At 43.9% G+C, this 23,967-nt stretch overlaps 1 protein-coding gene across 13 annotated transcripts in view, besides 2 other annotated features; it reads right to left on the reverse strand.

Moving 5' to 3' along the window:
- The window catches only part of ZFAT (zinc finger and AT-hook domain containing), a 354,552-nt gene that overhangs the window by 55,758 nt on the left and 274,827 nt on the right, over positions 1–23,967 (reverse strand). The window lies entirely within an intron of this gene.
- Positions 13,590–13,679: an enhancer, noted in NCBI's record as "active region_28008". NCBI's record gives its function as "activates an Ori minimal core promoter by ATAC-STARR-seq in GM12878 lymphoblastoid cells {active_cell/tissue: GM12878}" and the evidence as "EXISTENCE:reporter gene assay evidence [ECO:0000049][PMID:35858748]".
- Positions 20,389–20,508: an enhancer, noted in NCBI's record as "active region_28009". NCBI's record gives its function as "activates an Ori minimal core promoter by ATAC-STARR-seq in GM12878 lymphoblastoid cells {active_cell/tissue: GM12878}" and the evidence as "EXISTENCE:reporter gene assay evidence [ECO:0000049][PMID:35858748]".

Genomic DNA, 23,967 nt, shown 5'->3' on the forward strand with positions numbered 1-23,967 from the left:
CCTGCCATTCAGTGATGCGTCACTGTATTTGCTTCTTTAGCTAAATGAATTCCTCCGCAGTATTTGCCTGCAAGCACTGGCATACACAAGTGTCAACCATCAGGGAAGTCCAGCAGGTAAAATCTATTTCTCATGCCCACCTGGTCAAGACAAGACACTTTCGGGATGAGGCCACAAACGAGTCATGCAGTCCTGCCTTTCCTCTTGCACAATGCTTCGGAGGCTGCATAAATAGTGGGGCTGGGGAAAGAAGCACCTGCTGGGCCCCTGGGGAAGCTCAGTGAGACCTGGCCTTTGGCTGGTCGACGGATGGGCATCTCCATCACTGTCAAATTCCATGCCACAGCCCCTGGTCAGGAGCTGCCAGCATGCCCCTGTAATCCACATGCTGTATGATTCCGACAGTGCTCCAGGGTCATTCAGGGCCTGTTTGATGACCCAGCAGCCTTCTAGCCCAGGAGGAGCAGAAGAGCATGGAGCAGCCACAATGGAAGCAGCACTCTGCCTGGTGCAGGGGACTCAGATGGAGCAAGTCCAGCCACACCTCTGGCCTTGACCTATGATGGAACCTCAGGCAAGTCCTGAAACTTCTCTTAGCATGGATCTTTTCATCAGGGAAATGAGGCTCATGCCCATGTCATAAGGTTGTTGTGAGAATTAAATGGTATCATATAAACTGATACCTAAAATGCCATGCAAAGTGTTTCTTATTGATTTTATCAACAATTCTATCACAATTCTTACTGTGCATCTGGAAGCTAACGTACCACTGCATCTATTAAGACCTCAAACACTACCTTTACTCCTCCACTGTCCAATTCATCAATCTTTTCACCACTGTTGCCCAGAAGAGCTAAACCAGCAACTGCAATGTCTGAATGTGAAGTGCACCAACAGAGAGAAAATGTCCTCTCATCTTTGAAGCTTAGATCAGCTCCTCTTTCAAGGTTTCTTCCCTTCAAGTATAAAACTGTGATGAAGTAGCCCCATAGAGGCAGATGGGAGAGAGGGAGAAGGAGAGGAGGAGGAAGAGGGAGAGAGAGAAGGGAGAGAGGGAGAGAGGGAAGAGAGGGAGAGAGAGGACAGGGGGAGAGAGGGAGAGAGGGAGAAAGGGAGACAAGAAGAGAGAGGAGGAGAGAGAGGGGAGACAAGGAAAGAGACGGGGAGAGGGACAGAAGGGAGAGAGAGAAAGAGAGGGAAAGGAAGAGGGGGAGAGGGAGAGAGGGAGAAAGAGAGAGAGAGAGAGAGAGAGGAGGGAGGAAAGGAAGAAAATGAAGAGGAAAATCTTCCACCTCACCCCCTGCCTAAGTCACACTCCTTCCTCGTAGGCCCCTTGCCCACCGCCTGCTGCAAGAGCAGTTCCCCCTTCTCCCTTCATGCTGTCACCTCTCTTTCTCAGGCTTCTGCCATCTCCTAGCAAACAACTCCTGGGGATGCCCCCTGCTCAGACCTCATGCTCCTCCATCCTATCTCCTTAGGCTGGCTGCCCCATCCCACTGTGACAGCTGTGACATTGTCATGCCACTGTCACCAGGTTCTGCCAGGGCTCAACCTCCTAGATTTATTTACAAGATCTGCAATCCAGGTTTAATGTGAAATGCTGGATCTCTCTAAGGTGCTGGTCTTGGGCTGGATTTGTTCTTCTGTTCTGGTCCCAATTATCATTTTTGCATTGTTGATTGGTGGATCTATATGTTTTGTTGGGTCCTCTCTCCTGAACCATACACAGGAATTTTCAACTGCCTTCCAGGTATCTCCACAGGGATGTTCTATAGGCACCTTAAACTTTGGACTCACATCTTTCTGCAAAATCAGTTAGTCATCAAAGACAGAAACCCACAGCCATCTTTCATTTTTCCTTCTTTCTTACTATTCAACTGATCACAGAGTCTTGTCCAGCCTTCCTGGGAAGCCTTTCCAGAGCTCCCTCTCCCCCTCCCCCTCCCCCTCCCCCTCCCTCTCCCTCCCTCTCCCTCCCTCTCTCAATCTGGTCAGTCAACCTGCTCTAAAACATTCCCCAGGGACTTCGCCCTACACCAAGGCCACACTCTGGTTACCGGATGCTTTGTGCCGCACCGCATGTGCTGTGTTTCTACATTAAGTCCCTGGGTAAGGAATCCTTGGAGTTTGGCCCACAGCATTTACTAAACAAAAGGACCTGGAACAAAGGCAAAATTTGTCGGGCTTTCTCATCTATCTAGTGCGCAGAGAACAAAAGGTCTAGAATTCTAATATATGATTACTGCAAAGTTAAAATAAAAGCTAAACCATTTTCAAATGCTTTCATCTCTAAATAAGCAAATAACATGAAGATATTATTTTTGGAATGTTAGCATTTACATACAAATCAAAAAGAAAAAGTGAAAATGCTATATTGCCAGCATCGGGCAGTCAGTGGGCATAAAAGGCAGGAAGAAAAAGGGCGATGAAAATAAGAAATGGTCCTGCAAACCCAGCTTCAGACTTGAGAGCCAATTTCACCCTTCTTGCAGCAAAGCAGATAAACAGCTTCCTGTGAGTTCAGCTCGCTTTCTTCCCCATGCCCATCCATTGGCAGAATTGCTAACGAGAAGAAAAGTTGCCAAAATGTAAGCATATTGGCAAAAAATGTGTGTGTGAGCCCAAATGAGGATTCAGTCTCTTGAGCTAGCAATTTCTATCAAAATTTTCAATTCTGAGAGTTGAAAGAAACACTTGACTTGGCGAAATCTTCCCTCCATGAAAGACTTTCTTCTGTAGCCTCTCTAGCAGTCTGCTATCTACTTAGCCTCTGCTTTGATGCAGGGGGTTCAAAACATCCCCCAGCAGCCTTTTCACTGCTGACCAGTGCAGGGGGAGTTAGGAAGATAAATCTCCCAGACTCTTTCCTTCATTGGTCTTGCTTCTACCCTTCACATCCATTAGAACCTCTATATGAAGTCAATTACCACCCATTTTCTGCTGGGGATCTTCTCTCCCAAAGTGTGGGAACTGAGCCTCATCTAGGCTCTTCAAGCAAAACAAGTTCTGACCTGTGAGGCACTGCCACAGGCCAGCAGGGAATTCTCCTGGGGCTGATGCAGGGAAGGACACAGGCAGAGGTAGGGAATAGCATCCCTAACTGCAAGTCTCAAGATTTCATTTATGAAGCATATATTTACTGACCTCTGACTGTCCTCTGACCCCCAGGAATACATGGCAAATGAGGCAGATTTGTGATTCCCTAAATATATACAGGTTTTGGGACTTAAATATCAACTCCAAAGATTAAATGTTATCTAGGCAAACTAAATCATAGACAGAAACTCGCAAACAACAAATGACACTAGATCTCAAAAGGGAAGTTATTTAATCAGAGCTTTCAGGACAGAATCCAGCCTAGAGTTGGGAGGAAGATATAAACTGGCTCCACAGCTCATTTGGAATGCAACATCAAAGTTCTTATCATGGTCCAAAAAACAAGACAGGGAGCCCATTAGCATAGCTATTATTCAGTGTTGCACAGAAGTTCTTAACCAAAGTAATGAGATCTAACATGATAAATATTACTGATTTCTCTAATTTTTACTGATAGCTACTATATGCCAGATAGCTCTAAATGTTTTGCATGGATTAATTCCTATAAGTCTCACATCAAGCTCATATGGTACGTGCAATTATTATCCTCATTTTTACAGGTAAGGAAACTGAGACACAGAATGGTTTAGAGACTTGCCATAGTTTCACAGTCTCCCAGCCTGGTTACTTGGTTTGCATCAGATTTGGGGCCCCAGGCCCAGCCAACAGTAAAGAGATGATTTGGTTTTCCACTGGCCATTTTTTTCCCTAGCATATATCTCCCTAAAACCCCAACTGAGAGGGGCACAGGTTGGTATTCTTGGGTCTCCTGGACATAAGGTGGCCCAGATCTAAGTATCAACCTCTAGACCGAGGAATCGCACAGTGGACCGGGAGAGATGTGGGCAGTTACTGGGCTATCATTAGGAGGCAGGGACTTGGCAGGGGAGAAGACGAGGGTCGATACCAGCCAGTGTGCTGTGTGCTGGGTCAGGAAAGTAATGACAGAAAATGGGAGCCCCTGGTAGGTGTCAGGTGGGACAATGGCCAACTTCCCATTTTGAAATATCACTCTGGATACCTGGAAGTTAAATGGAAAAATGGACTTGAAAGGAACAAGACTGGAGGCAGGGAACCAATTATCCAGTTAACTGCAGTGGTATGGACGAGAGATGCTAAAGGTCTAAAATGAGGCAGGGGAATAAAAATATGGGAAAAGAAGAGAACATTTAAGAGAGGTGAAGAAGGTAAAACCAGTCAGACCTGATGGCTGGGATGATGTGTGAGAGGGAGGAGATGGAGCCTCTAGGATGAATCCCAAGCTTCCAGTATGGATGGCAGAAGGCAAGGAAGGCCACCAGCAAGAAGGAAGTCATATGGATAATGGGAGGGAGAGGGTGTATTCCTAGAATTCTGAACATCCCACAGGGTGGGTCTAGAACTCAGAGGACAGCTCCAGGCTGCAAACACAGATCAGGGCACAAGCAACTAGCAGAGGTCCTAAGACTGAATGTGGCCATGGAAAGAGTATATCAAGTGAGAAGAGAAGCAGGATTGGATCAGCTCCCTGGAACACAGGAGCAGGCAGGCAAAAGGAGGTGGACTTGGAAGAAGGATGACAGAGGATAACAGGTGTGGGGATCAGGGGAGTCTGGAATCACGGGATCTGAGGAATAAGGTCCTCCAGGTAGGAGAGGATAATGAAGCTGAGCGCTCTAAATCCAACAGGAAGGGGCCTCCCCAGTGTCCACTGGACCTGGCAACCAGGGGGTGGCGCCGGTGACCTACCAAGAAGAGGTTCAGCAGCATGAGAAACACAAAAACCAGGCTTCAGCAAGTTGAGGAGAAAAGACGAGGAGCACAAGCTGGGCTTTGGGTCATGTTCCTTTTTCCAAAATGTGGCATCAAAAAAATCTTTCTCAAAAGGTATATTGGGCCAGGCGCAGTGGCTCACGCCTGTAATCCCAGTATTTTGGGAGGCTGAGGCGGGCAGATCACTTAGGTCAGGAGTTCGAGACCAGCCTGGGTAACATGGCGAAACCCCTTCTCTACTAAAAATACAAAAATTAGCCGGGCATGGTGGTACATGCCTGTAGTCCCAGCTACTTGTGGGGTTGAGGCACGAGAATTGCTTGAACCTGGGAGACAGAGGTCACAGTGAGCCAAGATTGCGCCACTGCATTCCAGCCTGGGTGACAAAGTGAGACCCTGTCACAAAAAAAAAAAAAAAAAAGATAAAGATTAAAAAGACGTACATTGAAGATTTACAAATTGAGTTGAGAGAAAATGAGATTGAATGTGTTAAGGCTGAAATTCTTTAAGTCCTTATTTTTATGTCAAGAAAGCAGTTAAGTTGTCACCACCATAGTATGAGTATGGGTGACAGAGTGAGACCCTGTCTCTTAAAAATAAAAAGCAGGTAAAATACACATTTTCATAGTTTGAGACTTTGCTGTTTTGGTTCTTTAAACAGAAAGAAAGAGAGTAGAAGAGGACAGGGAATATATCTCACCCGTGAAACTGGGTTCCGAAAAACCTGATTAGAAGACATCTAAAAACCTCTAACTACATTAAAGTGATCACATTTCCCATCAGCACCAAGGAAGGGACCTAGAGGAATGTTTGAAAGCAGATGGGAAGCTGGTGATGAGGTAATGTTCAAGGTCATGACATTGGCAACTGACTGCAATGTACAGGATGGCTTTTTGGCAAAAAGAGGAGTTGCTCTGTTGGCTCCTATTCGCAGCAAGCAAGAAGGCTGTCATCAGGTAATGTTTTTGCAGTCTAATTTGTGCAACCAAGTATGGTATTAAGGTGGCACATACATCAAAAGGCTCAAAGATCAGATGTGAATCCACCCCTTTGTTGATAAGCCTACCTTGGAGAGGGTGAAGAAGAATAAAGGCAAAACAGAAAGTGCCAGATGACACTAGTGTGTGAAATCTGGGGTCATACATCACTATTTCAACCTCAGTTTAACAACCTGGCTGATGTAGTAATAGAGATACAGACAGAGATAGACATACAGAAGGAGACTAACCACCCGTCTGGTATCAGAAAATTTGGATTCAAATGCAGAAAAAGGCCATGTAATGGTTATGACCTACATGAAGTGGACTAGTTGGTACAAGACCAGTTATACACTGCTGATAGAAGTGGTGTTTTTAGAATGCGGACAACTTTACAACACAGAAGGACCTTCTCAAGGACATGATTGCATTCTATGTCAAGCAAGGGTAGAAGAGCGGAGTGTGGGAGCATGAATGAACCAGGCGCAGGAGAAGAGGGTCAGGTGTTAGGCCCACCACTAACAGTGGAGTTACCCTGGCCAAGTCATTACAACTCCACTGCTTTTGAATCCATATCTGTGAAATGGGAGAGCAAACCTTCCCTGCCTACCTGACGGAGATTAGATGGGGCACCAAAAACACAAGAGTATGACTGTGCTTTGAGAATCATAAAACCCCATAGGTCTCACTACTGTGGTCTTTAATCAGTTCATTAGCATATTAGCACAGGCAACTAGTAGATGCCCTAAGACTGAACACAGCCATAGAAAGAGAGTGTATAAAGTGAAAAGAGAAGCAGGATTGGAACAGCACACTGGAATGCAGGGGCAGGCAGCCAAAAGGAGATGGGCTCGGAAGAAGGACAAGAGAGGACAGACAGTAGGTGGGAGGATCAGGGGAGTGTGGAGTCTGGAACTCGATCTCCTTCCTCTCACACATCATCTCAGCCCTCAGGACTGGCTGGTTTTACCCTCTCTATCTCTCTTAAATGTTCTCTTTTAACATGTTCACATATTTTTATTCCCCTGTCTAATGTGGTCATCTGAGGCTCCAAGAAACCTCCTGGTGGGTGTCCTCCCAATTTCTCCCATGACAAGAACATTCTCTTCCCTTCTAGAGAAGCTCTTCTCTTCATGTAGCCCGGGACCTTGTGTAGGAGGCTGCCTGCCTGCAGCATGCAGGCACAGAGTCCCTCCATCACCTTCAAAGGCTACGAAAAGTCCCACCTACACCACCATGACCCTATTAAACTGTACCTACTTATACATCAACTGCCCCGGACTCACTCCTCTAAATGTAAGTAAAAAGACTTTTAAAATGTTGCATGTTAAGCCACTTAGAAACACTAACCATCACTCTCATATGCCTTTATTCCTCAATCGCCATCTAGCGGACTGGGAAATTCTGAAAAAGTGAAAAAACTCTAACCTAAAAAATAGATTTCAAGTGTCATGAAATTTTTATGAACTATATCTAACCATCAATTTAGTTAAACTTTGGCCTGTAGGTATTTGTTCATCTTGATTTTGTAGTTTTCCTGTAGTTTGGGGTCATTTTTTAGGCTCATGAAAATGTGCTCAGGGTTCCGTGGATCAAGTGGCCCTGCCCACTGGCACCAGAGGGGAGAGGGGCCAGTTCTCGTAGGCCCAGCAGGACTCCGGGCCCTGGGTTCCACGTGCTGGCCAGGACAGCAGGCTCTGTCAGCGCTTCCTCACTTGACCTTAAGGGAAATCTTGGACTTCAGATTTGGAGATAGCCATGCATATAGTTTGAATATTTTTCCCTCCAGAACTCATACTGAAATGTAGTATTACTGAGTATTGAGGGGTATTGAGAGTTTGGGCATTTAAGACGTGACTGAATTATGAGGTCTCTGCCCTCATGAATGGATTTACATATTCAAGGATTGAAGGATTAATGGGTTGTCATGGGAGAGGAATTGGTAGCTTTATTAAGACGAGGAAGGGGACATGCACTAGTACACGAACACGCTCAGCCCCCTCACCATGAGATATCCTGCACTGCCTTGGGACTCTGCAGAGTCCCCACCAGCAAGAAGGCTCTCAAACAGATGCAGCCCCTTCACCCTGAACTTCACAGCCTCCAGAACTGTGAGAAATAAGTTCCTTTTCTTTATAAATTACCCAGTTTCAAGTATTACGTTATAAGCAACAGAAAATGGACTAATACAAGCCAATCATCAGTTAATCGTCATTTACCACAAGTAAAGAGACGAGGAAAGGAGGAAAGGAAGAAAGAAAAAAGGAAAGAAAAGGGAGAGAGGGGGAAGGGAAGAGAATGGAGAATACCAGTGTCTGAGTTTGAGGAATGACAATCGCAGGATCAATCAACCATGATCCACTGAAAGATAAGAAAAATAGGCAAAATATGTCATCAACTCACATAAAAATTAAATGCCAAATCATGCTGCCATTTCTTTCCAAAAAGATCTCTTATCTTTACTCATAAATAAAGTATCGGCTGAGTATCTACTACATGCCAAGCAATATGTCAGGAACTGGAGGTGGCTGGCGCCACATTCACAGGCATTCCACTAAATCCTTTTACCTCATTCACCACCTTCTACTGGAGGTCCTGAGTGTTTACATCTTACCTCCTCCCTCCCAGATGCCAGGACCTTGAAGGCCAGGCCAGCTGGTAACTTTCTTCCCTACAAGGCCTGCCTGATCCAGACTTGCCCACTTCTCTGACCACATTCCTCTCCATGGTCACCCTCGTTCACTGGACTCGAACCATACTGGCTCCTTTCTCATTTGCATTCTAACTCTCCCTCTATCCGGAACACCCCATCACCCCATCAGCAGATTTCCCTCAGGCAGCTGTGTCCTGGACCAAAGTCAAGTCTCCAAACTGCCCTTCTTACCCTAGTCTTGATCCTGCCATTCTCTCTACAACAAGTGTCTTTCTTTTCTTTCCAACTTTTATTTTAGGCTCAAAGGGTATGTGTGCAGATTTGTTACATGGGTAAATTGCATGTCACAGAGGTTTGGTGTACAGATAATTTTGTTACCGGGTAATTAGCATAATACCAAACAGGTAGTTTTTCAATCCTCATCCTCCTCCCACCACCCTCAAGCAGGCCCCAGTGTGTACTGTTCCCTTCTTTGTGTCCATGTGTAGTCAGTAAGTACCCACTTATAAGTGACAATATGTGGTATCACAGTTTTGTGTTATTGCACTAATTCACTTAGGATAATGGCCTCCAGCTTGATCCATGTTGCTGCATAGGATATGATCTCACACAAGTGTCTTTATCAGCCCCCTGCTCAGAGCCTTCAAAGTCTGCCAGAGCCTGTGGAGAGCCCCAGATGACCTGTCCACACCTCTTTGTAATAGTGAGCAAGGTACATGCAGGTATTGTACAGAAGTGAGGGCAGGGGGGCAGGGGAAGGAGAGCATGTACCAAGCCCCAAATAACCTCCTCACACCTCTCTGTGACACTCAGCCAGATACATGCAGTTACTGCACAGAAGAAGAGATGGGGTAATGTGCAAATCCCCAGATGACCTGCTCACACCTCTCTGTGATAGTCAGCCAGGCACATGCAGTTACTGCACAGAAGAAGAGATGGTGTAATGTACAAATCCCCAGATGACCTGCCCACACCTCTCGTGACAGTGAGTCAGGCACATGCAGTTACTGCACAGAAGAAGAGATGGGATCATGTACAAATCCCCAGATGACCTGCCCACACCTCTCTGTGATAGTCAGCCAGACACATGCAGTTACTGCACAGAAGAGATAGGGTAACATACAAATCCCCAGATGACCTGCCCACACCTCTCTGTGACAGTCAGCCAGGCACATGCAATTTCTGCACAGAAGACATGGGGTCATGTACAAATCCCCAGATGACCTGCCCACACCTCTCTGTGATAGTCAGCCGGGCACATGCAGTTACTGCACAGAAGAAGAGATGGGGTCATGTACAAATACCCAGATGACCTGCCCACACCTCTCTGTGATAGTCAGCCAGGCACATGCAGGAGATGTGCAGGAGCTTGCTCCAAACCATCTCACTCCCGCAGCTGCCACTCATGTTTTCAAGCCATTCCTTTTTGACTGAGAACACTCCCCACCTGCTCTCTCTACTTCACTAACTTTCAGGACAACTTCAGCACACAGGAGGCTGTTCCTGCCCCTTAGCGGATCTTGCAACTGTTGTATGCAGGCATCCACTTCTGTCCTTCTGATATTGCTCTATTCTACTGAGTTCCTTGGGTCAGGCTCTGTGTATCTTCCCCTCAATATCCTTGAGAAAGAATCTATTGATTCTAATACTAGATGACACCAAAGTGAGAAGGGGCTATGGTCATCTAGTGAAACATGCCACTGACTGTGAAAGTCAGCAAAACTTGTCTGAAGGAACAAGTTGATCACGTTGGATTCAATGCTGACCCATTCATTCCAAGCAATGCATCAAGCCTTAGATCCCCAAAGCATAAATCGTGGGATGACACTGTATAAATACCCACCCTCCCCACTTAAAACAATGCCCCCTCTTATGCTTTGAAAGAAGACAATATTATTATGCTTCACAGATTTGAGCCAAACTTGATGAGTTCAACGTTTTCTTTAACCTCAAGTTATTAAAAATGTCTACCCATTGACTTGTGGTACTAAGAGTGGGAATGTTGATGAGCTAGGCTCCCATCCATTCTTCACGAGCCTCATCTTGCTCTTTACTCCCCCTACCTTCACCCTGAAATTTTCCCTAACTCTCCCAGGAAGTTGTAAGTTCTTCTTCTCATCTGTCCCCCAACACCTGGTAAAGCATTAACCCCGCTATGGTGTAACTGCCACCTGCCTCTCCAGGTCCGCCCTCCACAGGCTGCAAATCCTTTGAGAGTAGAGTCCACATCAGAACCCGCTCACCTATGCTCCCCCAGCAGCCAGTGCAGTGCCCAGCACAGGCAGATGCTCAAATATAGTTATGTGGCTTAAAGAAAAAGGGAAGATTGCTTGCCTCTTTCTGTTAATGATTCACGTGTAGTTAGTCCAGCAAACCCTCCTAACAACAACAACAAAAGAAAAAAACTAAAAATCTGGTTGAAATTTTTTTTTAAAAAAATTAAATTTAAGAACTTTAAGAGACATCATAAAGAAAGTGAAGAAAAGCCAAATAAGGAGAAACTGTATTCCTAACATATAACCAAAAATGACCCACACTTAAAAGAGATAAAGAATTCCTGAAGACAAGATAACAACAAAATCACCCAACAGAAAAATGAAAAAATAGTTGAACAGATACTTTACTAGAAGAAAAGGTGGAGGAGGGAGGGAAGGATAGTAAAAGAAAGTAAAGAAATCCAAACAGCTAAAAAACATATGAAAAGGGGCTCAACCTCATTAACAATCATGAAGATAAAAGTAAAACCACATAGAAGGTCACTGCACAGCCACCAGACTGGCAACACGGAATGTTCACACCAAGATATGGACCAAGAGAGGCTAATGCATGCGGCTGCAAACTGGTGCAACCACTTTGGAAAACAGCTGAGCATCACCTAGCAAAGCTGAAGCTGTGCATCCCATAGCCTGCAAGTCCTCTGTGGGTGTATGTATCTTGGAGAAACTGGTGCACAAGCATACCAGGGGACACACACGTCATGAGTCCACAGCAACTGAGCTCATAAAAGCAACAAAACAGAAGGAACCCAATTATCCACTGCAATTGAATGAATAATTACATCATGCTAGGTTCACATGGTGGACTCATGTTTCACACAATGGTATATGTACTGCAAAGAAACGGGTGAACTAGGGCTACATGTGAGAACTGGTCAGTCTGACCAATATAACTCTGAGTAAAGAAGTAAACTTCAAAACAAATACACAAGGCCAGGTGCAGTGGCTCACACCTGTAATCCCAGCACTTTGGGAGGCTGAGGTGGAGAAATGGTTAAGCCCAGGAGTCCGAGACCAGCCTGGGCAACATACTGAGACTCTGTCTCTACCAAAAAATTTTTTTTAATTAGCTAGATGTGATGGCACACGTCCTCCTGGTAGTCCCAGCTAGTCCAGGAGCCAAGGTGAGAGGATCCCTGGAGCCCAGGAGTTCAAGAACAGCCTGGGCAACATAGCACGACTCTGTCTCTACAAAAAGTAATAAATTAAAAAAATGAGACATGGTTTAGAGATGCATACGTGGTTGGCAAAACTATAATGAAATAAAAAAGTATTAGGCTGATCAAAAGTAATTACAGTTTTTGCCATTAAAAGTAAGGCCACCCATGTATGCATCTCTAAACAAGGTGCTTTAGCGTGTGTTTTACTGGCAAAAACCACAATTACTTTTGCACCAACCTAATAATTGTCATTGAAGTCGGGACAGTGGTGACTTTTGGGACAGAGAAAGGGTGGGCTCAGGAAGACCCCACAGGACAGTGTCTGGCAATGGTCTATTTCTGGGCAGCAGCTATGCAAGTGTTCACTTCATAATTATTCATCACACCACATCTTCATGTCATATGTACTATTCTGGACATACATTCTATTTCACAATAAGAAAAGTAAAGAAAGAAAGACAGTAAAAAGAAATGTATGACCAAATGGGTAAATAGGCAACAGAGGCCCCCTTCACAAGGTTTTTATGACGACTATAGAGAACTTACATTAAATGCCTAGAATGATACATAGCATGCAACTGGTAGTTATTACTAACATTAATAACACTGACGACGACAACACTTATTGCAGCACATGCAAAGTAATTTTTAGGTTTATTTTCTTTCATCTGTGTGATAAAAACTGCATTGATACTATAACATATTCCAAAAATGAGGCTATAGTAGGAATTTCTCTCTAAAGACCCAGTGACAGGCCTAGAGGAAATATTAACTATAAATCTGGCATTGCCAAGCTTAAATCAAGTTACCCAGGTGGAGAGATGGTCTTGATCATGCAAGTGCTTCCCGAGGGGTTTTGGTGGTAGGACACCTATAAGATTTACAACAGCACTTCTGCAGCTGAGGAAATGCGACAGGAAGATGAAGTTTTTTTCATTAATGTCTGGAGTGGCCATCAATCCCCTAAAATGCAAGCTAGCACCAAGTCACCCTGAGAAGTGTGTAGCTGGGCTGGGGGAGGGCGGGATCCCAAGTTCTTGAGAACTTTGAATTCAGACTTAATTCAGTTACTTCTGAGACTTAGAAAGCAATTTCATCTAATCAGAGCCCGTAAAGGATGAAGTGATAGCTTCTTCAGTCTTACCTCTCTTTTATTTCTGGGGGAAAAAGACAACCAGAACAGATGCTTCTGAGAAATATTTCCCACCATGTACAGTGGAGAGGTCTGTGGCCTGTGACACTTCTCACAACCCCTAATTGGCAGGGGTTTCTGGAGTCAGACCTCAATCTAGCTCTACTGTCTAACAGCTTTGCAACTTTGAGAATGTTTGCTCCTTTTATTGCAAGGACTGGAGCTAATGTAAACAGAGCAGTCTGCATGGAGATGTTCATCAAATTATTATCATTGACAGTTTACACAAAGAACAGTGGAAACGCCTCAGTTAAAGGAACAGAACCAACGGTATTTCTTTTAACGTGCATTTGGAGTTTGAGCACTTCCTGTTTAAATTTGCAGCAATAGAGGAAGATGAGCTCAAGGAGGGGACCCCAAATTCACAACAGATAATGAGAGCTGTCACTGAGTTTCTACTACATGCCTCAGTCACCCAGGGTAAAGATGGAGATATTAACATTCTCATCTTGCAGACAAGGCCCTGCGAAGTTAAGCGGCTTGCTGAAGTTCATGCAGTTAGTCACCAGCCAAACTAGTGTTCTAGCTAAGGTCTGTTGGATCCTAATGTTCACGGCCCGGTCTCCTTGGCCGCTGGAGCACTGATCACCAAAGCTCACCACAAACAAGCTTCACTTCAGCAATAATCTCTCCTGCTAACGGATCAGATGGATGATTTCTGCAACTTTTGCTTTTATACTGTATTTTCAGTTTTGCAGATGACTTTGCATTTCAAATCACAGCATCAACAAGATGGTGCTGTTTTCACAGCAGCAATTCCAGCTCCCAAAGTTCTAGTAGCATAACCTTCTCACCATTTATTCCCCTTCCCTCTCTATTCCCTCCTCAGGACCTGGCTCTGTACAGAACTGCCCACAGAACTGTCCACAGAACTACCAAACACTGCAGGTCAGAGTTAACACCACTGCAGTAGTGAAGATTTATTATAACTGCATTTGCATAGATTTCCAAAGAACACACCAGAAACAGATTACATGAACTCCCTCTTACAGGAATCTCCACTGAGGCTTCTTGAACATAACAATAATGAAGTTAGGTTTGCTGTGCTCAACATAAGAAAACAATACACTTACAGATAGTAAACCTGCTCTTTGCTAAGAGGAGGGCTCCTGGTGGGCTGCAGTGAACCTCTGCTGTGATCCTTCAGCATCCTCCAGGGCCTGGCTCACTGCATCTGGTGAGTGTGAAGAATCCCATGAGCCTTGGGACCATGCTTGGTTATCCTGGGCTGAGCACCTCCTTTCTAAAGCACTTACACATGTTTTATCTTGTATTAACCTAAAGAGGCCTCTGGCAACTGTGAGAGGAGGGAAGAACTGAGAGCTCAAAGCCACAGAATGGAGTGAAGGACCAGGCATGGCCCAGAAACAGAGGATCTGTTGAACGCTGTTCCCTTGTGGCTCCAAGCCCTTGAAGGAGCTCAGAGTCCTACTTCCACCTGGAAGTTGGCCATGATAAATCTATCACAGTAAATTTCTACAGAACCTATTCATTTACTCATTTGTTCATTCAGCAAATATTTATTAAGCACTGCATAGGTGCTGGGAGTAAGACAAAAACTAAACAAAGAGCCTCAAGAATTTACATTCTAGCATTATGAACAAGTAAATATATAACCCATTGATGCTGTTAAACACATAAAAATAAGGCATTTGAGCCAAGACCTGAAGGAGGTGAGAGAAGCCCCGTGTGGCTACCTGGGAGAAAAGCAGAGTGAGAAGTGGGAAGAGCAGGTGCAACCAAGCACGGAGATGGAGTGGGACACGCCACGTCTGCAATGGAGGGTGGAGGGTGAGGCGGCACGGGAACCAGAGGCCAGGCAGAGCAGGTGCTTGTGGCCACCTGTAGGATTTCAGCTTTAACTCTGAGTGTGACCAGAAGCCACTGAAGTGACAAATATACATGGGGTTCATTATACTATTTTCTCTACTTCTGGGTTCTCTGATAACCAGTGTTTCCCAAAGTCTGTTTCACAAAATGTAAGTGCTGGCAGGCACTTTGGGAAAAATAGGAGGAGAGGGACTTCTCCAGCCAAATGAGATTGAAAATCACTGCATACTGTGTCCCTACCACCTAACACCTACTGACATCCCAGGGAACTAATGTTCTAGAGGGCACACCATGGAAAACATTGACTTATGGCCTCTTCCAGGGAGGGTCTATCTTGTCTCCTAGGTAAGCTGAGCTTCCTGAGGACAGAAGCCATGTCTTCTGCTACTGCTGGGTTGCACCACAGCCAGTGGAGCACTGGGCACTAGAGACTCAGAACGGAACACGCGAAAACAAAAGCCTGATTGGCTGACTGCCCGACTCACGTCACTACTCCACGTTAACTGTGCCCACGAGAAACTTCTTTTCCACTCGGAAGAATTCCATCACATTGAATCTCTGAACTCCAAGGCCCATTATCTACCCAGGGTCACCCAGTAAAGCTTGTGACTCTTCCAGAATGTTCTGGATGATGACACAGGCTGACAGACGGAAATGTTTCATAGAAATACGAGTTCAGACCGGGTGCAGTGGCTCATATCTGTAATCCCAGCACTTTGGGAGGCCGAGGCAGGCGGATCACGAGGTCAAGAGATCGAGACCATCCTGGCTAACATGGTGAAACCCCGTTTCTACTAAAAATACAAAAAATTAGCCAGGCGTGGGGGCAGGCACCTGTACTCCCAGCTATTCAGGAGGCTGAGGCAGGAGAATGGCGTGAACCTAGGAGGCGGAGCTTGCAGTGAGCCGAGATCACGCCACTGTATTCCAGCCTGGGCGACAGAGCGAGACTCCGTCTCAGAAAAAAAAAAAAAAAAAAAGAAGAAGAAGAAGAAATACGAGTTCATCCCCAGAGGCTGCTCAGTGCCTGAGAGTCACTGCAGCAGAGCTGCATGAATGCTCCCCACCCCGCAGCAAGAAGAATACTGATCACTAGGCCCATGGCCAAAGATCTGCACCCCTATACTGGGCAGTGGGCAACTCAAAAAAAAATGCATATTCATAACAAAGGACCAAGACTGTAAATTACAAGATACATGGTGGTTCTCGTAAGGAAAATTCCTAAAGAACATTTGCACCTAGAATGCTCACCTTCTTCTCCAGCCTGAGCTCAGTGGGATTGTGAACCACATGTACACAGGACAATGTGGGAAACTGGTGCACTCCACCTGACCCAAACAAACACACCAGACCCCCGTGACCCACTGACAGTCACAGGAGACAAACAAGGGGAAAGAAACACAGAGGCAGAAGCCAAGAGATATCAAGAGACAAACGCCCGAAAGGAAGAGGCCCTCGGACCTCTTCAAGGACCTCAGGGAGTGAGGGGGAAGCAGATTTTCATGGGCTCGTGTTAGCATGTAAAGAAGTTTGTACTAAAGATTTCAAAGTAATGTTGATGTTTACGGGATATCAGGTGAATGAGAACATCATTCCCTTCTCCTTTTCCCAGTGGCCAAGTATAATTCAGGCAGATTTGGTAGGTCACACTCTGGTCTATAATCCAAGTCTTCCTGAAAGTGGAGAGGCTCAAGGCCGAGTCCACCGGGCACCACCCATGCTGGGAGATAAAAATCTTTTAATATATTTTTTGCTTTATCGCTTCAGGATTTATAAACCTGAGAACATGAAGCTGGGACTTACATTCCATCCAGGGTTGGTCACAACGGAAAAAAAAAAAAAAAAAAAAAACAGCACAGGGTAAAGATCCAGAGAGAAAATGCCAGGCCTTCATATCATTTACGAAGCACAAACCTATCTTGGTTTTAAAATAAGGCCAGAGACAAATTAAACAATTTAAGAGAATAAATGTTTTAAAACCGTGGCATACCACAAGTTCAAAAATGGCTTGTGTTGAGGCAATTATCTCATCACAATAAATAACAGTAAATCAATCCACACTAATTGCCTTTTGTGCAAGCTTAGAAGACTCTTTAGCGTTCTCTGATTATTGATTTGTTATCGCTTGTGTCAAAAATGCAGTATTTCCAGAGAATATATTGCACACTCTTAGACAGGATTTTAATTTAACATAAAACAATCCAATTTCCTTTTTTTTCCAGAGGTGCTTTAAACATCTAAAATAGAATGAAGCTGAAGATGGCACTAAGAGGTTTTTAGCAGAGACTTTGCATTTCAAACCAATTTAACAAATGGCCCCTGTTACCACCACCACATGGCCCTGCCATGCATCCCGCTCCCAACCCCACCCGCCACGTTCAAAATTAACAAGAAAACCATGTGTAATCTCAGATTCCTCATTTTCTTGCAAATTTGGAACTGAAAAGCAAGACAAACACCACCAACAGAAACTCTATGCTTTACTTCTTTCCCTCTGCCCCTTGGTTCAGTAGTTTCCACTGAACCTGGAAAATGTTCTGGCTGCTAACTTTACACTCCATCAGCATTTTGATTGAAGATTTTGCTCGAGTCTTGATAGCTAAACATACAGCTGCAGGCTTAAATAGGCATAGCAGTGAGGGGAAAAAGGACAAAGGGGTAAATAAGTTCCTCTGCTTCACTTGAAAATGAGAAAGCGTGGACTAACGCGCAGAGAGTAGTTTTCACTACAGAGACATGGATCAAAATCCCAACTCTAGCTCATAGAAATTGTGTTACTCCTGAGCACATTACTAAAATAGACTGTGGGCCTCAGTGTCCTAATCCGTAAAACGGGGATGTTAATTACCTACCTGGTAGAGTTTTTCAGGGCAAAATAAGGTAATACACAGAAAACACCTGCGTAATGCCAAGCACATGGCTATTACAAAGAAACCAGTCCACCCGTCTTATTCATTCTAATGCTAGATATTTAAACATTCAACCTTGTGGTGGAACTTTCTTGTGGAAAGATGAAAACGTCTTCTAGGTAACAGGAGGAGTTGTAGTATAAATAAAACTGCAATGCCATAAGCAATGCCAGATGACTCAGCATTCTGAGGGGGTGCTGAGACTCTGAGACGATTACTTTGAACTATTTATAAATGTGTGGCTTCCAAACAATCTGCTTATTTGAGATCATTTTATTGCTTTCACTTCCTTGCTGACAAAGTTTAGATTGGAAACTAGGAGCAAATTACACAGCCACATCCTCGGCTGACCTCATCCAAACATCACCTTTGTTCAACTGAGTACCCAAGCCCCTTATACATTCTAGGTGCTCAGATGCCTCGTGTATTTTGTACATACAACCATTTCCCTTTCACACCGACACATTATAAAGGCCTTCAGGACTTATTTCATCATCAGGAATGCAAAAAGAGGTTACACTAATTCCCTTTGACTTGTGGGTATCAGTCAATCAGAGAGCTTTCTGGTTGCAACGGGTTTTTTAAGTTACAGGTTTTACACAACAGGATAATATATTAATCCAATTAAAACATAATTTTTAAAAACTGATAAAGTTGGAATAATTAGTTTGCTGGTTTTCTGGGTTCCCACAGCACCTTGTACATAACTTTTTGTAGCACTTAACATATTTGCTGTTACTTTTGATGTCTATTTGGTTCTCCCCAGACTTGTAACCCTGGCAGACCAGAGGCCTGCCTTCATCCTGAAATCCTCTGCCCCTGTCATGGTGCCTGACACAGAAGTGCCTGGTATTCAGAAAAAAAAAATGTGTTGAAAAATAAGTAAACATTTCATATGCTTTGCATCAAAAAACCAAATGAATAGTTAGCACTTTATTTGTACTTATGTTTTTTCTTAAAATTCTGAATGTCAAATTGTGGTATCATGTATTCTATATGGCATTCTCAGGAAAAGTTTCTCAATGATAATGAAATCGGTGATTGAGATCTCCCTTGCCTCTCACTAGTTTTATGAAAATACTTTTAGTTATGCAAATTTTAGGCTGACAACAGGCAATAGATTTCTCCAGCTTCATGGTGCACATTTTTGAAGATTCAATTGCATTTAGAGATACATCAAACATAAACTTTAAATAGTGTCTTTTCAAGATGATGGCGTGGATGGTTTCCCTTGTGAAAGAGCATACTCATCTATACCAAAAGGCTGATGGCTACAGAAGAGAAGGCCAGTCTCACCTTCTGGAGGTCAGGGACAGAGGAGTGATCTGAGCTATTTGTCAAACAGCAGAGAGGGTTATTCTGTTTCAGAAGCAAAAGCGTCTAAAGTAAGAAGGAAGGGTCAGCATGAAGTCACACTGAAGAATCTCCAAAATGCACAGATTTCAAAAACTGTGGATTTCAGACCTGAATTCCCTTTTTGTGGACTTGCACATTCACACACCAAATTTTGACATGCTTTCCATAAACCAGGAAAAGCTCTTGGTGCACTTGGAGCTTCACAGAGGAATGAGCCAAAGGGCAAACTTCCTCCAGTGCTGGGGCCTTGTGGCATGTCCTGTGCGATGCAAAAAATGGGTGAGAGGTAGTGATGAGGAAAGAATGGTGGGGCAAGGGCAGGGCAAGGCCCTTCTGCAGGAGAATCACACTTTTTGAAAGCATACGCAGCAGGTCCAGCAGTGAAGGGCAGGGCCACTGAGGAGAGAGACATTCACTGTTAGAAGGAGGCTGTTTATTAAGAACTCTGGGTGGGAGACATACCTGGTAAAAGCTTCTCAGCCGGTGCAGTGACTCATGCCTGTAATCCCAACACTTTGGGAGGCCGAGGCAGGTGGATCAAGAGTTAGGAGTTCACGACCAGCCTGGCCAAGATGGTGAAACCCCATCTCTACTAAAAACACAAAAATTAGCCGGGCGCGGTGGCAGGCACCTGTAATCCCAGCTACTCAGGAGGCTGAGGCAGAAGAATCGCTTGAACATGGGTGGCAGAAGTTTCAGCGAGCCGAGATCGCGCCACTGCACTACAGCCTGGGCAACAGAGTGAGACTCTGTCTCAGTGACATATTTATGTGGTCAGGTACATCATGAAAGAATGTGCCACATTAGTGGAATTAAGTGAATATGACTGTGTGAACAAACAGAACATGCCACAGGCACCAAGAATCTTAAACAAAGTCATGAAAGAAAGGAAGATTGTAGAGTCAGGACAGTCCTGTGATGAAAAAAGGAAGAAACCAGGATGGAGTCTCTACAGAACTAACATTTGAGAACAACGTGACAAGCCCTCTTTATTTACTTCCTGACTAATCACAATGTGTATAGTGGCAAGAAGAGGTACTTCTTTTATCTCTGTGCTACAGGTAAGCTGCAGAGGGGAGAGTGCTTGCCCAAGGCCACCCAGGCAGTAAGTGGGAAGCCAGGATTCTATGATAGTCTGACTGTAGAGCCACAATCTCTAATGTCAAAAAAGGAAGGTCTTGTGCTGTAGGATACAGGCCTTCCATCAAACCTGCACACTGTTGTTTCTCTCATGGGGACAGTCCCAAGGGTCCATGAATCTCCAAGTCTTTCCTGAACTACCCACGGGGAATGCTGCATTGATAATACCCTTGCATGACAGCTGGCAGAGGACTCTCTCCTCGTGACTCTGCACCCACCCAGATTACTCACATAAGCCACAGTCTGCTGTCTCAGTCACCCTCCTTGCTCCTGACTCCCAGCTTCAAGTTCTGTGTATGTTGGAGCAGGGGCAATAGGTACATCTGACAGGCACCCACATTGTGCAGACACTGACAGGCACTGTCAGAATCACAGGGGTGGAGTATTCCTGCTCCCAGCTAGGATGCAGAAAACCACAAGAGACCACTGATCTCACACTAACAACTTGACGGATCTATCAGATTGCCAAGGATACAAAGAAACCTAAGTGAACTAATTCTAGAAAAAGACAAGAGGTGGATAGGTCGCTATGCTAGAGACCAAGGTATCCACCAGTTCCTTTTGTCCTACTTTTATCTCCAGCATAGTGACCCATCAACCTCTTCCCTGTGAAATGGAGAACTTCACCAAGGGCAAGAGGGTTGGGGGCTGAAGCTGGCGCCAGAGATGAAAGAGGAGAGGAAAGCCACTCCTTACAAAGTACACAAGGCCTTCACCAAGTGCACTGCCAACTCTCCAAAGAGTTCCCCAGGCAGAGCAAGGCAGGAGAGAGATGCCTAATAAACAGAAAGCCCGGGGTGGAGCTGGAGAGAGACAGAAACTCTGCAGCATCCTGAAACGCTGGCAGCTGACCTGCAAAGCTGGTAGAGCGCCTGTATGATTGAGAAGGCCAGTGCTGGGCTGTAAAACACAACATGATTTCTGGAATCTCACTGGTGCTCAGATGCTCAACCTTGCTGAAAGCAAAGTCCTTGATCCTCTTCTCAGAATATTTGAAGATAGTGAAAACCAACCCTAGAGTTGTTCAGAGCCCAGACCCAGACCCAGCTCAACTACAAATGAGATTTATTCATTCTTGAGTTGGGGGTTACCAAGACCACCCTCAGGTTCAATGACTCACTGAGAAGACTTGCAAGACTCAGTATATAGTCATACTCATGGCTACAATTTATTATAGTAAAAGAATACAAAGCAAAATCAGCAAAGGGAAGAGGCACACGGGGTGAAGGCTAGGGGAAACCAGGTGCGAGCTGCCAAGGGTCTTCTCCAAGTGGAGCCACACAGCACATGCTTATCTCCCCAGCAAGGAACTGTGACAATACTTATGAAATGCTGCTGTCAACCAGAGATGCTCGTTAGAGACTTAGTGACTAGAAACTTTAGTGATGGCTGATCATGTAAGTACCCTCTGCCTAGCATGTACCAAAATTCCATACTCCCAGAAATAAAGGCAGGTATTCAGCATAAATCGCATTGTTTGTATAAATGCTTTAGAAAGTGTAAGCTCCTCTTAACAGTGAGGTGCTATGAACTGTCTTGGAAGTCCATGTTCTCAGATGCCAGCCCAAGCTTGTAAGCAGGTCTTTCAAAGGAGAGCAGCCAAGCCTGCTATATTAACTCTTTTCTACACAATCCACCACACTAATAACATATACTTTCCCAAGGCCAACTATTGTTTACCTCAGTCTACTGTTTTTTCACATATAATGTCTGGCATTCAATTAAAACATTATGAGGCATGCAAAGAAGCAAGAAAAGATGACCTCAAACCAAGAAGAAAAACATCTCTGCAGCCCTGCAGGGAAAAAAAGAAAAAGAAAAAAGAAAAGAAAAAAAGTCAATAGAAACTGATGTGCAGGTGCCCCAGATGTTAAAATTATTAAACAAAAACACTGAAGTAACTAGAACAAATACGTTAAAAGCTCTAGGAAAAAAAAAATAAAAAACATGTGTGAACAGATGATAAAATGTAATAGAGAAACAAAAACTACAAAAAGAAAGTGCTACATGGGAGGCTGAGGCAGGAGGATCATTTGAGCCCAGGAGCTCAAGCAAGATACAAAAAGAAGGAAGGAGGGAAGGAGGGAGGGAGGGAAGGAGGGAAGGCGGGAGGGAGGGAAGGTGGGAGGGAAGGAGGGAGGGAGAGAAGGAAGGAAGGAAGGAAGGAAGGAAGGAAGGAAGGAAGGAAGGGAAGGAAGGGAGGGAAAAAGAAAAGGAAAAGAAAAAGAAAAAGAAAAGAACCAAATGAAGATCCTAGAAGTTTTATTAAAACATCACATTTGGTGGTCTTAATAGCAGATTTAATATATCCTAAGAAAGGATAAGTGCACTTGAAGAAAGGCAAATAGAAATCATACAAACTATACAAACTGAAACATAAAAAGAAGAATTAAAGGGAGAGAGAGAGAGATCACCAGAATGTGAGGTGCTATTAGTGCCTCACATATATGTATTAATACATATGTGTTAATATATGTGGTATTGTAGTCCTAGAAGGAAAGGAGAGAACAAATGAAGCAGAAGGAAGAAAGAGATAATGGTTGAGAACAGTCCAAAACTGATGAAGGATATCAACCCACAGAAGCTCAACAAACCCCAAGTAAGGTAAATATAAAGGAAACCACACCTAGACTTGCTGATGTTAATATGATGAAAACCAAAAAAAAAGAGGAAAATCTTAAAGCCGGCTAGAAGAAAAAGACTCATTACACATAGAGAAACAATGATAAGGGTTAGAAACAAGAAAGGATGAAAAGGGATGGAACATTTTTAGAGTGATGTCCCCCTAGAAGTCTATGGCTATCAAAATATTTTTCAGAAATGAAGACCACATACAGACATTCTCAAACAGACAAAAATCGAGAGAATTTAATTCTAGCATACCAGCACACAAGAAATGCTAAAAGAAGTTCTCCAAGCTAAAGACAAATGTATCAAATAGAAGCCCAGATCTGCGGGGAGAAAATGAAGAATACCAGAAAGGTGAATTATGCAGGTAAATGTATATTTACCCTTTTAAAAATATTTTAATATTTTAATTAAATGCTTTTTTAATTTTAAATATTTTTAAAATTTTAGTTTCATTATGTATTTTTAAAATATTTTATAAATATTTACTGATTACAGCAAAAAATAACAACACTATATTGAGGAGTTCATAACATGAACATGTGTGACAACAAAAGCACAAAGTGTAGGAGGAGAGTAAATGAATTACAGTGTTTTATGCTTCTTACATTGTTCATAAAATAATATAATATTTGAAACTAGAATATGTTGTAACAAAGATAAGTTAAGGTCTACAGCAACCACTAAAACAAGACGAACACAAAAAAGTATGGTTAAAAGGTCAGCAAATCCAAACTGAGGGATATTCTATAAAATGACTGACCAGTATCCCTCAAAACTTCCAAGGTCATCAAAAACAGGGAAAGTCTGAGAAGCTGTTAAATCCAAACAGATCCTAAAAAGGACATGAGGACTAAGGTACTGTGGTATCCTAATGGGATCCTGAAATAGGCAAATGCCATTAGGTACAAACTAAGAAAATCTGAATAAAATATGGACTTTAGCTAATGATAATGTATTAATATTGATTCACTAGTTGTAACAAATGTTCCGTATTG

The sequence above is a fragment of the Homo sapiens genome, chromosome 8 (assembly GCF_000001405.40).
Source record: "Homo sapiens chromosome 8, GRCh38.p14 Primary Assembly".
Classification (NCBI taxonomy): Eukaryota; Metazoa; Chordata; class Mammalia; order Primates; family Hominidae; genus Homo; species Homo sapiens.